The following is a 15,540-nucleotide window of genomic DNA, read 5'->3' as shown; positions in this document are numbered from 1 at the left end:
TTGAAGAAAACTAATGAAATGGTTAAAATGTTGACAAAATTATCCAAGAGAATAAAGAAAGAAAAAATATTCACTATGAAAAAGTAGGCTGAAATATGGACTAAGTAGAAAAAATTTAATATAAACATCTTTATGCCAATGCATTTAAAATGTAGTAAAAATTGTTATAGTAAAAGAAACATTACCAAAACTTACTCAGAGAAGTTGAAAACCCATATATATGTTCAAGAGAAAAAGCAAGGGAAAAAGAAAAGGAATCTTGAATAGACTTATAATTAAAGATATTGAATTAGACTTTATAGCTTTCAGAAAACATATATTCTCTGTGTTACACAAACTACTCCACAGAAGACAGAGAGTGAAGCTTCGCAAATTCTTTTGTTAAACCATGACTTCCTGGCACCAAAAGTGGATAAAGAGAGTACAAGAAAAAAAATTGATTGAGAATCTTCCTTGTGAACAATGATGTAGAAGTCTTTAATAGAATATTAGCAAATAGAATACATCAACATTTAAATATGTTTTCTAGTAAAGGAAAATTTATTTCAGAAATGCATAAAATGTTTTCACTTGAAAAAAATCTTCTAATGGTAATCACCAAGTTAGGAAATTAAAGCTGAAGGATGTAGATATCTTGATGGTGGTAGCACAAATTGGCAAAACCATATTTGAAAATTGTTCTTATCTTGTAAAGTTAAACATTCGTATACTCATCAACCAAAAACATCTTACTCCTAGATATATTTTCAAGTAAAAATTTTGAGTATCTTTACCAAGCGATAAGTATAAGAACGTTCCTCACACTGATTTTAAAAGCCAAAAACTGGAAACAATCAAATACTAATGACAGGAGAAGAGATAAATATATTGTCATTTATGCATATATGGAATGTTATGGTGCAGTAAAAATAAAGTAACTTTATAAACAAACATTTAGTTGAACCTTAGTAATATAATATTGAGTTTTAGAAACAAGTTCCAGAAGATTCCTGTATGAAATTCTTTATAAATTTTATGACAAGACTAAATATTATTATTTAGGAGTACATTCATAATTATAAAATTATATTTTAAAAAGCAAGGGCACAATAAACAATTTAGGATTGAGTATACTTGGTGGGGAGAAGTAAAGGACAGGCTAAACAGGGTTAACATAGGTATTGTCGATGTCACAGTTCTCGGGTTGGTTGGGTGATGGTTTTGTATTAATTAATTAAAAAAGAAACCTGCATGATTATCTTAATATGAAAAGAGATATAATTTCATAGAATCTGATAGAGTCATTCATGATTTAAAATTTTCATTGCAAATAAATAGATTAGGGAAAGTTCTTGATTTAATAAAATGTGTCTGCTAAAAAGTCTATGGCAAAAAGCATTCTCAGTGTACAAATGTTTGACACATTCATTAATGCCTGGGCTGTATTAATGAATTGTTATTATTATTTCCCTCTTGAAAATACAGCACATTAGTTGTTTGACATGAAAGCTTTCCAGAAAAAAAGTGTTATTTCAGAATTAGTCTTGACAGTTTACCTTTCAATCTCCCAAACAACAAGGATATTTCTCGTTCCTGAAGCATATTGTCAACATGACAACTTATGTCATTGTCTGTTACTTTTTAAAGAAAATGCTACTCTACAAAAGAGTTGGAAGCAATGCATCCCAACACAAGGCCATGTTTTTCAAAATACAGAGTATTAATCTGGCAGTATAAATATATATGTGTGTGACCTCTGTTCTTAGTGTCTTAGGAAGACTTTCAGGAGTCATTTGTGTTGGGCCTATAGTGATTCTGTTTAACATAAATTTTATGTCATAGCTTATATTCTAATTCCTAAGGTAATAGATATTTTAGCATTTCTTGAAATGTAACAGATTTATTCATAATTGGAAAGGCATGTCAAAATAACCTCTTTTAATACAATAAGCCAGAAGCTTGAGACGTATCTGGTGAGTTGTTTATGAGGATAGTTTTTTTATTTGTTTTTGTTCTGATGCCTCCATGTTGATTGTTTCCACTGTAAGTTAATTTTCTGATATTATACTTTTAGTGTCATTCTAATAATTTTTACAAGATTCCTCTTTTGTTTAAAACAGTGTTTCAACTTCATTAAAAATATCTTTGGAATTCAGGATCCTTAAACACTTATAATATATAAAAAAGGAATTATACATCTATTTCCTGTTGATGTCACATCTGATTTTTTTCAAATTATGTTTAAAATGTCAGCAGCTTTGAGCCTGAAGCCTTCCATCAAATATCAAAGACAGTTATGTAAAAAATGTTCAACAGATGGAGGTGTCTTATAAAATTCTTTATTTAAATCTACAAATGAGTCCTCAGTTAAGTGAACTATAACTTGAGAAGTTTTTAAAATCTTGAATACATATGCAAAAAAATAAGTTTAATATAATGAGTTTGTTTCAAGTGATTTATTAATTCTATACCTAATTTAAGATTGTGGTTTATGAGCTATTTTATAGTAATAGAAAGTACAGTGCATGAATAGTTTTAGAGCTTAAGACTGTGATTTTTAAAATATAAGGTTATTTGGTGCTGAGTGCAGAAAGAAATTAGCCCTTGTGTAATTTCTGAGAGAGGCATATATATGAGTCCCTTAAATGTAGGCCATTTCTCAAAAGAAGTAAAGTCTAAGCATCTTATTGCTCACATGCAGTCAAGAACAAAATATTTTATGAAAGTTATATACCTTACATTCAAGCCAGAACTTTATAACTATAGCCATATATGTTTTTTGGGCTTCATCATAGAAATACTCAGGCCACATCGTACTGTAGGACTTAATTAAAATATACTCATTAAATCATATTCAGATTTTATCAGCATTCAACATCTGGTTCTATACTTTACCATTTATTAAGCTCAAAAGACCTTGGTAACTATATTAAGGAAATAGATATTAGGACCTAAAGGAAAAGATTGATGAGATTGGAGTTTTAAGAATACAACAGCTGCTCCTTATTTCTACAGAGAACAAAGCAAATGGAAATTAGCATCAATAACAGAAGAAGAATATACATAAGATATATATACACAATAAATAAATTAATATAAATATGAGTAGATAAAACATGTTGATTTTATGGGTATTCAGTGAGAAAGTCTATAATCATGACTTTTAATGAGGCTCTCTAAGACTACAAGTATAATTTATGGTGACTGAAATGCTGAGGAACTAGATAGCCCTGCCAGATCTGCTGGAGGCTCTTTGCCCTTGTTATACAAATATAATGCTCACAGTGTTACGGACCATGCATTTGAATGGAAATAATTCGTATCCCTTTTATTCCTACTATATGTATACTCTGATCTTTGAACAAAAAAATTTTTTTTTTAATTGTCATCCTTTGGGGCAGTCCACTTTCTGTGTCAGTGGCTCTTAACCCCAGAATCCGCAGGCAATTCTGTTCCTGCTGAGTCATCTCCCTCTTCTCTCCCCTCCAATCTTTTCCAAACTCTCTGCTGACCTGGGCTGTTTTTCGACTGCTAACGTTGATGGCACATTTTCCCAAAGCGATTTGAAGCATTTACCTTCTGCTTGATTTCTAAGAGGCCATGCCCCTTCCACTTCCTTTGATAAGGTCAAAGGGAAAAAAGTTACATCTGGGTTTCTTTGGATTGTTGTTTTTGTTTTAGCCTAAAAAGCAATCACCATAAAACATGCACATACCCAACTAAGACTAAAAAAATCTAGAATTCAGGCTCACATGGTCTGATGAAACAAAATGATGTAAAGGACTCTGTGGACGATTTACAAATTGTAAGAATGGTTAAATTTTATATCAACATAAAATGCATAGCTCCTCCAGCAAGCACAAAGCACAAAAATACATTGTGTGTTCTGTCAGTTTTCCAAACTTTCAAGGACCTCCTAATACTTAGTTATGCAATGTGATTTGCTATTACAATATACTTTACTCTGCGGATGTTTTATTAAGTTGGTCCAAAAGTAATTGTGGTTTTTCCAATTACTTTTAATGGTCAAAACCACAATTACTTTTGCACCAACCTATATTTTCAGTTCTTATGGTATTTGCCACAGAATAAGATGCATGTAGTTCTACATATTGACACACAAATTTGTATATAGATGTTTTGTGTTTGGAAACACCAGTCTTTATATAATGGCTTTACATAATACAACACTTTGCATAAAATTATATTCAGTAAAGTAATTGTCAAAGATATATTCAGATAGTTTTTACACGTGTAAACAATCAACTAAATTGTAGCTACTTGAAGTACCTGCAAGTCTGATCACCAGCTCACTGAGTCTTTAGCTATCCAAAAGATCCTGACACAATGCTGACCTATACAACGTTCACACTGTGCTATCAAAAAATACTAAATAACAAACTCTTTCAGGTCCTACTTAAAAGTATGTAATTGTTTTCTAAATCACATGCAAATTATTTACTGATAATTGTCTGTGTTTTCTACTTTATTTGTGCAGTCACTGCTGTAATTAAAGTACCTGAAAAATCTTTATTGGATATCATTATGCTCTTTGATCAAAAACTTGTATTAAATCTCCATTAATCAATTAATAATGACCCTATCAATTATAGACTAATTCAATTAACCACCACCCTGAATTTTTTATTCATGTAATAAGTCAAAGTCCCCAGACTAATCAAAATCAGGCTTGAAAGGCAAATAAGGAAGATATGTTAATTCTGCTCACCCAGGGTGATTTTATTTTTGATGAACTCAGCAGAAAGTCACTTTCAGTAATCCAGTAAGAAAAGGGTGATTCTTTTTCCTAAAACTTTCCAATGTTTTATATTTTTCTTCAAATATGCTTTAATCTCTCTGACACAGGTCTTGAAGAAATTGGATAATTAGCCTAACTTGATGTCAATTTTAGTTACTTATAACTAAAATTATTTGAGAATTATTTTTTCAGAACAATTTCAAAATAAAATGCATACAGGATATTATAAAGATCTGCTCATTTTAAAAGACAGAAATTCAAGTTTTAAAAAATATGTCATGACTTAATACAAGAACATTATATTTAATCTTTATAATATCATTTTATTAACTCCAAATGTGCTTGTTAATAAGGTTTATAATTTTGGCTGTTTTTATCTTTTAAACTCACTTGAAATTTAATGAGATCTTGATGGATGGACTTTCATTCGTATACATGGAGTCTTAGTGAAGCCTGGTTGAGTTTTTTCAAACACTGCTGACAACTATATTTGGAAAGTTTCCCTGGAGCTGATAAAGTATACCTGATTTTTAGTGTTCCTGTATTATGGTTATGAGTAAATCACATACATTATTTTACTCATTCCACTTATGAGTCATGACTGCTGCAGGCTTTCATTCCCTTCCCATCATCCTGTTGATGATGGGCACAAATTTATGTGCATTGGGATGCCTGTTGGTAACTTTGCAGTCTCTGGGCAGTGTCTTCCTGTCACTACAGTGTGTGAACTGTGACATCTGAATCAGGGCAGCAGTGGCCAAGACTCAGAGCCTGCACAGCAGGCTAGAGGCTCAGTGGTCATGTTGCCACAACCAGAAACATCTTGCTGTAGTCAGTACTTGACTTCCTAACACCCCACCATTCCCATTTGCAGACAGAGTAAACCTTCAGTAATACAAATGTGACAAAGATGAATAGAATACACATTGGATGCATTAGCTTACTTAATCCTAAAATATGAAACTGTTCATTCAGTAGATATTTCATGAAACATATAGGCCAGGCACATGCCAAATAACATAGACCAAGTTGTCTGCCCCTGTGATTTTACATTTTGACAAGAGAAGATTGACAACATTGTGATAATACATAAATTATATAATAGAGAAATAAACAATGGATGTTCAGTTATCTCAGCAAAATCTCCATTGAATAAAAAATAACAGAAAGCTTTGGATTTTGGATTATTAAGAAAATAAATAACTTTTCTATATTCAGAGGAAAACAGCAAGAGGAGGAGAGTCTTGTGCTTTAGACCAGATAAACTGTACTGCCTAAATGTCTGCTGGGCATTGGTAGAAAGTCTAAGAAATTCTTGCAACTGCTTGATAGATGGTAAGGGACAAAGAGGAGCTTATATGACTGGCATGTGACAAACACCAGGACTCTTCTCTGTCATTTCAAGTTAAGTAAAGGAAGGGAAAACAAGATAATATAGGTCCTATTTTTTAAATGTGCAGAACAAGAAAAGAATAGGGATTTTTCTAAATGTATGAAAAAAAAATTTTAAGTGGGAAATATTCTACGGATAAAAAAAACAACCAAATTTCAAGAGCATATATAAAAATATTTTTGGAGGCTAAGGGTGGAGGATTGCTTGAGGTCAGGAGTTCAACACCAACCTGGACAAAATAGCAAGGCACTTTCTGCAAAAAATAAAAGGTTAACCAGGCATGGAGGTGCATGCCCCTAGCTACTCAGGAGGCTGAGACAAGAGGATGGCTTGAGCCTAGGAGTTTGAGGCTGCAATGACCTATGATCATGCACTTCACTCTAACTTGGGTGACAGAGCAAGGCCCTGTCTCTTTAAAAAAAAAAAAAAGAAAAAAGGATATTTTTTTCTTTATGACATAATAGAGGAGTAATAGAGAAGGTAAGATTAATGCTGAGAAAATAAGAGAGGTGCTATATTTTTCCAATTTCCCTGAAATATATTTCAAAATATAGATTAAAATATATGTTAAAATTGCATTACCAAAAATAAATCTATAATATTAAGGACAGAATGGAGAAACTCTCTGAGAATGCAGAGGAAAATAATAAATAAATGAAAAGGATGAGTGAGAAAATATTACAAAAAAAAACCTCAGAAATAAAAACTCAGCTTTTGGACAACTGGCCTTCTAGAATGAGACACCAAAAAGAAGCAGAAGCAATATTTTAAAATATAACTCAAGAAAACCTTTTGAGCATGTCTTCTCCTAGAAAACAGTCTGCAGCTTGAATGCACCAACTTTGTTCTGTCCAAAGCAATACAAGAAACCTTTATCAAGATATATACTGGTGGATGATGATGATTAATACTATTAATTTCTAGAAGAAAGTGCAAACCTTGTAAGAATCACTCAGGTAGGGGGATAGAACAAAGAAGAAATAGATTATAAAACAAATAGTGTTGAAAAAATTATGTTCTTAAATATATATATATATATATATATATATATATATATATATATACTGTGATCCTATGTCACATTATGTATACACATAAAACCAAGATGGTTCAGTAAGGGCAAGAAAGAATAAAATAAAACTTGAAAGGAAAACTCAGAGAAAATTGTAGATTTAACTGATCTAATCAAGTAAATTATCTTTTTAGCCATACAAAAATATGCAATCATGAAAACAGTAATTGATACATTTGAGTATAGTAAAATTGAAAACTTGTGCTAAAAATAAAATTAAGTGACATAGCAAATTAGAAAAAAAATGCAACAAATATAACAGAAACCACATATGATACTATATAAATAATTCTTAAAAATCAGCAGGAACATTTCTAATCCAATAGGTAATAGACAAAGAACATGAAAGAGACTATATATATATATATATATATATATAATTAGTGACACTGAACAATTAAGAAAATATAAATTAAATGCCACTTAGTGACATTTATGTAGATTAAAGGTAAAAATGCCACTTTTCAATTGTCAAAAATATACAGAAAGTTAAGCACACGTGTTCTCACTTGTGTAGAAGCTAAAAAAAGTTGATCTCATAGAAGTAAAAAGTAGAACAGAGGATACTACAGACTGGGAAGTTAGAGGGCATGGGAAGTTAGGTAGAGATTTGATAAAGGAAATAAGATTACAGCTAGATAGGAGAAATAATTTCTAGTTTTCTATACCACTGTCAGATGACTATAGTTGACTGTAATATATTATATGGTTTCAAATAGTTACAAGGAGGATTCTGAACAAAAAGAAATAATAAATGTTTGAAATGATAGACATGATAATTACCCTGATCTGATCATTAGACATTGCAGTATGGAAACATCACTAGATACCTCATAAATATGTACAATTATTATGTATCAATTTTTTAAAAAATAAAATGTATTTAAATGTAAAATTTTATTTAAAAATGGGATTGGTGTGTAAAGAGTTATTTTATATAGCAGATGGAAGAGTGTAATTTTCCTGAAGATAAATGAAACAATGTGTATCACATTTCAAATGCCAGGTTCTTAGTGTCTATAAGGAAACAGTTGCACCAGTGGGCAAATAAATACACATGAGAGTTGAGTCTGTTTTTCTTCTGATAGTAAAAGAATTGGAAACAAATTAAATGAACATCAACAAGGGATTGGTTAAAAATTTTCATATTCATTCATGCACGCACAATACGGAATGTTATATAGTCATTAGGAATTACTATTATTTGTATGTTTCTTTTATGTTTAAAAGGCCTTTTTTGTTTATTTTTAAAATCATTTCCTTTGACCAAGTAGCCTTAATTATTTGAATTTGTGCTGTAGGAATGAAGAGATATGTGGCCCAGGATGAAAGGACTATGATTGTGTGGGAATGTTAATTTTAATAGAAAAATTGAGGATAGAGGGAGTAAATGTTTAATAGTAAGTTAATGATTGTAATAACTCCTTAAAATGACATACTAGGTATAAATAAGTACATATATATTGAAAATAGACAATATAAAAATATTTTAATAACATAATTACTATTGAAATATTAAGAAATAAAGAGTAAACTAATTGCCTGCAAATATGGATGAAAAGTGTAACCAACGTCTGGTAACCAATAATATTTTTTAAAATGCCAAGAACAACAAATTTGTCTGAAAACATGTTTGAATTGGGAAGGAAAGCATTGATTATATCTCATGGTAACAGACTTGTTTTTAAAGTTTTCTAATAATAAATTTTTCTACAGATCATATATCTTATTCATAATGAAAAAGATAATTAAAATTTAAAATGTTAAATATAAAATATTCATAATTATCATGTTACCTCCCATTCTCAGTGAAAAACGTGCAGTTGAACTACTTGCATGATTCTAAATAAATTCTTTTAAAAATTAATAGTTATAAGCTGACAACAATCATAAGTTGTAGTTCAGATTGACATATGGCACTGTTCATGTTGTAATTGCAGGTAATTGTTAAGTACAAAATTATCTCAATTTTGTATTCAGGCAGATGATGCCTGTATATTTGGAATGTCTACAATATGCCAGGTGTCCTACAAAACTCACAGCTGAATGATCACTTGAGCTTAGAACATTTGTTTATTGCACCATACATGTGTCGTACATGGTTTTACATGTGAAAAAAATACCATAACACACCAATACAACAGAAAACTTCATCCTTTGACAGATTATTTCATGGTATGAGTTTTTGGTTTTAGTTATTGTATTTTTAATATATTACATGAAAAAAGCAATTGCTATGTTAAGTGTCTTAAAATGTTGTTGAAAATTAAAATTTTTTTAGTAAAGGGGAAAATGCAATAATGAGTGCTAGAATGCTTATGTTATCTGGCCTTAATCATATTTTAAGGATTCCAAACTTTAGATCAGAACTAGATCAAATCAGATACAGGAGCTGAATATTTCAGATTATTAATCACATTAACTAGTTGCCCTGCAAATATGGACTACAAGTGTAGCCAACATCTAATAACTAGCAATATTGTCCAAATACCAAGTACCATTAATTATGTGCCTTAAATATAACTGGGACTAGCTACAATTGTTTTGTGTAATGTTAAGATAAAACATTCTGTATCGAAACCAAATGTTATTAAATACGTTGCCTATAAGTCAGTTTTCAAATACTGTGCTAGTTAACCATATTAGCTTCAAAGTCATTTCCGTTTAATGAGTTAATTTTACAAACTCTATGAAGTCATAAAATACACAATTCAGAATAAATGATATGAAGGCACAAACAAGAGCATTTTAGATGTAGCTGAGTGGCACAATTCTGTGATGAAACTGGCCTGTGTTCACATTTCTTGCACACTTATTTATCTGTATCACTTTTCATTGTCCTCACCCCTTCAAGAATGTCTTCACGAAAATCAACTTAATTTTCCAGTCTGCCCCATCTTCTTCCAGGGAGCTGTGATCAGGGTGCTGTGCAGATGTCTGAAATGAAGTTTATCTTTAACTTCCTCAAACAAATGCTCACAGAATTCTATGCCATTTGTCTAAGTTAGACACACTCTAAAAATATTTATGCTTTGCCAAAACATTACAGGATGTTTTACAACAAAAAAGTTTATATTCCCACAGAACTCTCATGCCATACTTTTTTGTTTACTGTTGAATCATTTAATCCTCTCTCCTTAAGTATCCTCCCTCTTGTTTTCATTCTTAGAGTGAAATAAGTAACTCAATAAGATTTGGAATCTATTTTCTCTTTTAATATTACTTTAAAGCTATATCTCCATTGCATCACAATCAGTATTAAAATAGAGATGCATAATATATAAAATTTGTTGTTTTATTTATTTTATTTATTTTGAGATGATGTCTGGCTCTGTTGCCCAGGCTGGAGTACAGTGGCACAGTCTCAGCTTGCTGAAACCTCCACCTCCCAGGCTCAAGCCCTCCTGCCACCTCAACCTCCCAAGTAGCTGGGACTACAGGTGTATGCCACCACACCCAGCTAGTTTTTGTAATTTTTGTAGAGGTGGGGTTTTACCAGGTAGCCCAGGCTGGTCTTGAACTCCTAAGCTCAAACCATCTGCCTCTCGGCCTCCCAAAGTGCTGGGATTACAAGCGTGAGCCACCATACCCAGAACGTTACATTGTTTTTAGTTAACCATTTCACTCATAAATGGGAATTTCAGGTTTTTCAAAATTTGTCTACTTTAAGTAAAGGTAAAATAACTATTTTTGTATATATCCTGAGATGGTGAGCGAAATATTTTATGATCCAGAACTTGTTGCTAGAACAAGCTAGTCACCCATTTCTCTGTATCCATTTCCTTCTAACAAGATATTCTGAAACATATATTAAATTTTTCCCTCAGATTTCTTAATTTCATGATGTTACCAAAGTCTTCCATAGTACTTACTATATAGTGTTTATATATTGCTATACCTACTTCTGTACACACGATAAATATTACCTCATCTTATTCTCATAAAGTCCTATGAGAATTGTTATCCTCATTTCTCAGATCAGGAAGTTGGGAGGTAGAGAGGTAAAGTAGCATGTCCAAGATCCTTGAACCAACTTGGTACCCCAAACCACCCAGTTCCGTTAGAGTAGGCTGACTCTTAGCATCAAATTCCTTAAGATTGGAGAGGATTTTTTGCTACTTGCCTTCTTCAGTATAAATTGATGGATACCACATTGACACTGTGTTTCCTTGACACTGTGTCAAGGAAAAATCCTCATAGAAAAACTAGAGAAAGGTAGCTAGAATTTTCTGCTCTGATACATAGTGACATTCATAGCCATGAACTGGTTCTTGTCCATGGAACATACTTAAGAAGGAGTCCCAACTCAATTCAGCAAAACGTTTGTTGAGCACCTGTTATATATAAGACACATTTAAGGCAGATCCAGACATGAAGTGCATGCAGTGCATGAAGCCAAATGTCTACCCATGAGCCAGCTCAGTGCCCTAAATAGTCTGCCCTATTTTAGCCAAACTTTGGGGAGGTGAGGATCTGAAAGACCAGAAGGTATTTTGTCCAGCATATTTGCAGCTCAACTTTCACCCTGAAGATCTTCAAGAGGGCAGAGCGGTCCTAGACCAGGGTCAAGAATTAGGTCCTAAGGAATGGGCTTTTCTAGAATCATTCTACATGGCGAATTCTGGAGTTATGTGGTCTGAGTGCCTCTCAGGGTGAGTTCTATACATGCCCTCTGTCAGCAACCTCATGTTCAGTGTGAGTTGCTGATTATTTTTGTACTGAAAGAAGGTTTGCTTAGGCCTCGTACTCTAAGTTTAATGTCGCAAATTTTAGGACAAAATCCAGCTTTAAACAGATTGCTGACTATTTAAGTGGAGAAGGTGGCTTAACTGGAACAAAAAAGAAAAACATTTCTAGATAGAAAAAAAAAATGTTGCAGAAGGGGAGCCGTTAGAGTGGGAGAAAAACGTATCTGTTGGAAAGTGCCAAGACACACAACTTGGGGAGAAAACATCTCCACCCAGCAGGAAACCCAGCTGACTTTTAAAAGTACCGCAGAAAAGGGGATGTTAGAAAACTCCTCAATGCATCATCTTAGCTAAGGACTTATAGAAGTTTAGGACCTGAGGAAATTCAGCCTGGAGGTTTTCATATTCTTGGTGACACTGTTTGAGTTCCTGTATGTTGACTGCCTGTGATAGCAAAACACCAACTCTGTTCTTTAAGACTTTTTTTTCCATGTATTGAGTGCCAGCAACATTAAGAACACTTTGAAGAAGAGCAGCTTTGCCCTGCTGTCTCTGCTCAGTTAGGTTTGGATTTAGGACAACAAAAGCAATCTATATTTTAAAGCCCAGACAGCTGAAGAACAGAGAAGAAATTCATGATAAAACACAGGGCTTTACTAATACTATGAATCCAGGATTGTTTTTGTTTGACTTAAATTGCTGTCAGTTTGACGAGTGTGGTGATGCTTTAGAAATTTCTGAAGGAGTCACAGAGAGTGGAAAGAAATCATTGAGAGAAAATATAAATGATCAATGGTAATCACTTACTGCAAAAATCAATGACTGATCCGTTATGCTAAGAATCTCTATGGTGCACCTTTGATTTGAATCTGTGATATTTCTCTATTCACTGTTTATTTTTGGATCACACACCATATTATGTTACATCTCTTGATATTAAATTATTCATCTGTAAAGTGGAATTAATATCCTACCTTGGTTGGTTATTGGGAGGATTAAATGAGGACCCAGAAGAAAACATTTGCACAATGTGAGACAGCAACCATTTCCTTCCCAGGATATCATAGTTTTGCCATCCTGCATTACTGCTGGACACACAAGACATTTTAGATAATATAATACATGTTTAGAAAAATAGCCAAAAAATTTGATTTTTGAAAATGTTTAAATAGAGCATTAAAGGTGGTCTTTTGTCCTAATCCATCACGCAACTTGAGTCTAAAGGCTTTAACACATGCTCCAAAAAGTTAACAAAAAGCTCATGTGAATTCAAAAATATTGAATATTCACAGGCTGTGACACATTGGAAACTGTTTCACACCTTTGCTGATGGGCATCTGTGTCACTAAATATGGCCTTATTCTATGCATTCTCTCTAGCTCTCTCTTCTCATTCATGGCCTGTATCTGACCCATGACTATCTATTTGTGGCTACCTTACATCTCACAGGATAGAGGACCTGAAATAGAAACAAAAGGACATAGTGGTTGAAAGCACCAAGATCACACATGGGATCATGACAGTTAAAGATGATAAGATCAAGGATGTAGCAAGGCACTTAGTCATAGGAAATAGGTGGAAGTAAGTGGCTATTGCAGGAAGAGAGAGGAAGCCGTAGATCAAGGAACATAAACATAAAAGGCAAAGATCTTACAAGAGTTGTCTGCATAAAAAACAAAGTATTCTAGATTTTTAAAAAATTAACATTATATAAGATGTGAAAAAATGCAGGAATGAATTAAAGAAAAAAAGGGAAAATACCGAACTATTCTATATTACGTATTCTTGATGAAAATGTTTCCTATCTTTTGCATGTCAATTACATTTTGATGATTTTAAATCTTACTAAATTTTCATGGGTCTCATGCTCTTTAAAGTATGTGTTTTGCAGAAAAGAACACATTATGAGCATAGACTCTACAAGTCAGGAATGCATATATTTAATCCTTCTTCATTTTTGAAGAATATTTGCCTTCCTCCTCAACCATTTTAGAATTGTAATTTTCTAAAAGGGGGTTTTCACTGGACAATGATTACTATTACTCAATTATATATTATTGAATTGATTAAAATTTATGGAAACAGGATTGACTAATGTTCCATTGTGAAAATCTAATACTATTTTTGTCCCTGATGTGGACACAGCTACAGTGCTATTTTTATTTTCATTGAAATGACCAATAAAATCAGAAAATTGAACTATAAGTAAAGTTCTGGCAGGTAGTGATCAATCTCAAGAAGGTCACCCCAACCACATCTGTTCTATCTCAGTTACAAAAAAAAAAAAAAAAACCTGCACAAATAGATGAATCCACCTAATATAAAATTAATTGGTGGACTGAAATCACCATGATTTGACTTCAAAATGGTAAAAATGGTTGTTCAAGGAGTCTTGCACTACATTAACCCAGTGGCAATATCAAAATTATAAGCCAATAATAGACTCAGTCATTGGTTTCAAAATACAAATAACTAGACAGATTTTTGATTTTAGGATATATATAGTTTTATTCTCTTGACATCAAAAGACTTGGAAGTTTACAACTTGGTTGTCGCATTTAAAGCCTGTATTTTTCTTTTTTTTAAGGTGGATCTTCTTGTTCCAACCAAAGTGACTGGCATCATTACACAAGGAGCTAAAGATTTTGGTCATGTACAGTTTGTTGGCTCCTACAAACTGGCTTACAGCAATGATGGAGAACACTGGACTGTATACCAGGATGAAAAGCAAAGAAAAGATAAGGTAAGTCAGCCAAATCGGTTTATAAAGTTCAGAAGTGGAGGATCAAATTACACCCAAGTTTGATTGAATTAACTGCTTATACATCTGTACTGAAAATAGTATCCATATATACTGAAAATATATGTTAAATAAAAAGCTTTAAAGAATAGTACTGTAAAGGGGTTGCAGTCTGGTATGCAATGGTGCAACCTAGAGGAAAAAAATTGCTTTACTGATAATATTTTTCATACTATTAATTGCCTAAGATCTGACTATCTAAGATTCACCTAATAGTTTATAAAGGTGATAGAATCTTGAATAGTTTCTCATAATACATATGTAAATAGTTATTGCTAGAATATATGCCACTGTCATTTTCATTATTAAAATAAATTCCTGATGTTAGATAAAATGTTCTTTGGAGAAAAATATTTCAAAGATTAATGAAATTATTTTTAAACATTTATATTTTCTTAATTATTGTAACAAGTAGGAATTTTAGAAATAGAACAATTTTGATTACACAGCTCAACAACAAAAAACTCAGATGTTTTTCTGCTCCGTTTCCTTCATTGTATTTTAATTCATAGGTTTGTTTTATTTTTCTTTTAAATTTATGATCTACTTTGAATTTTATATATACATACCTCTATACACACACACTGTACAAATCAATGCCATACAATTTTTATCTTTTTTAATGTTTAGCATTTTGAGCATCTTTTCATAGTATCTATTGGTTTCAGTATCTGTGAGACCCTGGAGAATGAAAGTGCTCAAGGCCTTATCAATGACTAATTGGGATCAGATGTTTAAATATGGCCTCAGTTGGATTAGTGAAATCAAGTTAATTCGTTGCTTAGAGTCACTGTGCAAGGAATGCTAGCTTTCTGAAGACATCAACAAAAACTCTCAGATGAAGGATTT

The 15,540-nt window shown here is 32.3% G+C and overlaps 1 protein-coding gene across 2 annotated transcripts in view; it reads left to right on the top strand.

The window, feature by feature from the left end:
* The window catches only part of EDIL3 (EGF like repeats and discoidin domains 3), a 444,327-nt gene that overhangs the window by 407,042 nt on the left and 21,745 nt on the right, over positions 1-15,540 (top strand). For both annotated transcript variants that reach the window (NM_005711.5, NM_001278642.1), the window contains one exon: positions 14,479-14,634. In NM_005711.5, the coding sequence (NP_005702.3) occupies positions 14,479-14,634 (156 nt within the window). The remainder of the gene's footprint in view (positions 1-14,478; positions 14,635-15,540) is intronic.

This window comes from Homo sapiens, chromosome 5, assembly GCF_000001405.40.
Source record: "Homo sapiens chromosome 5, GRCh38.p14 Primary Assembly".
In the NCBI taxonomy this organism is placed as follows: domain Eukaryota; kingdom Metazoa; phylum Chordata; class Mammalia; order Primates; family Hominidae; genus Homo; species Homo sapiens.
Note: the sequence above shows the minus strand (reverse complement) of the source record. Positions and strands in the feature narration are given on the sequence as shown.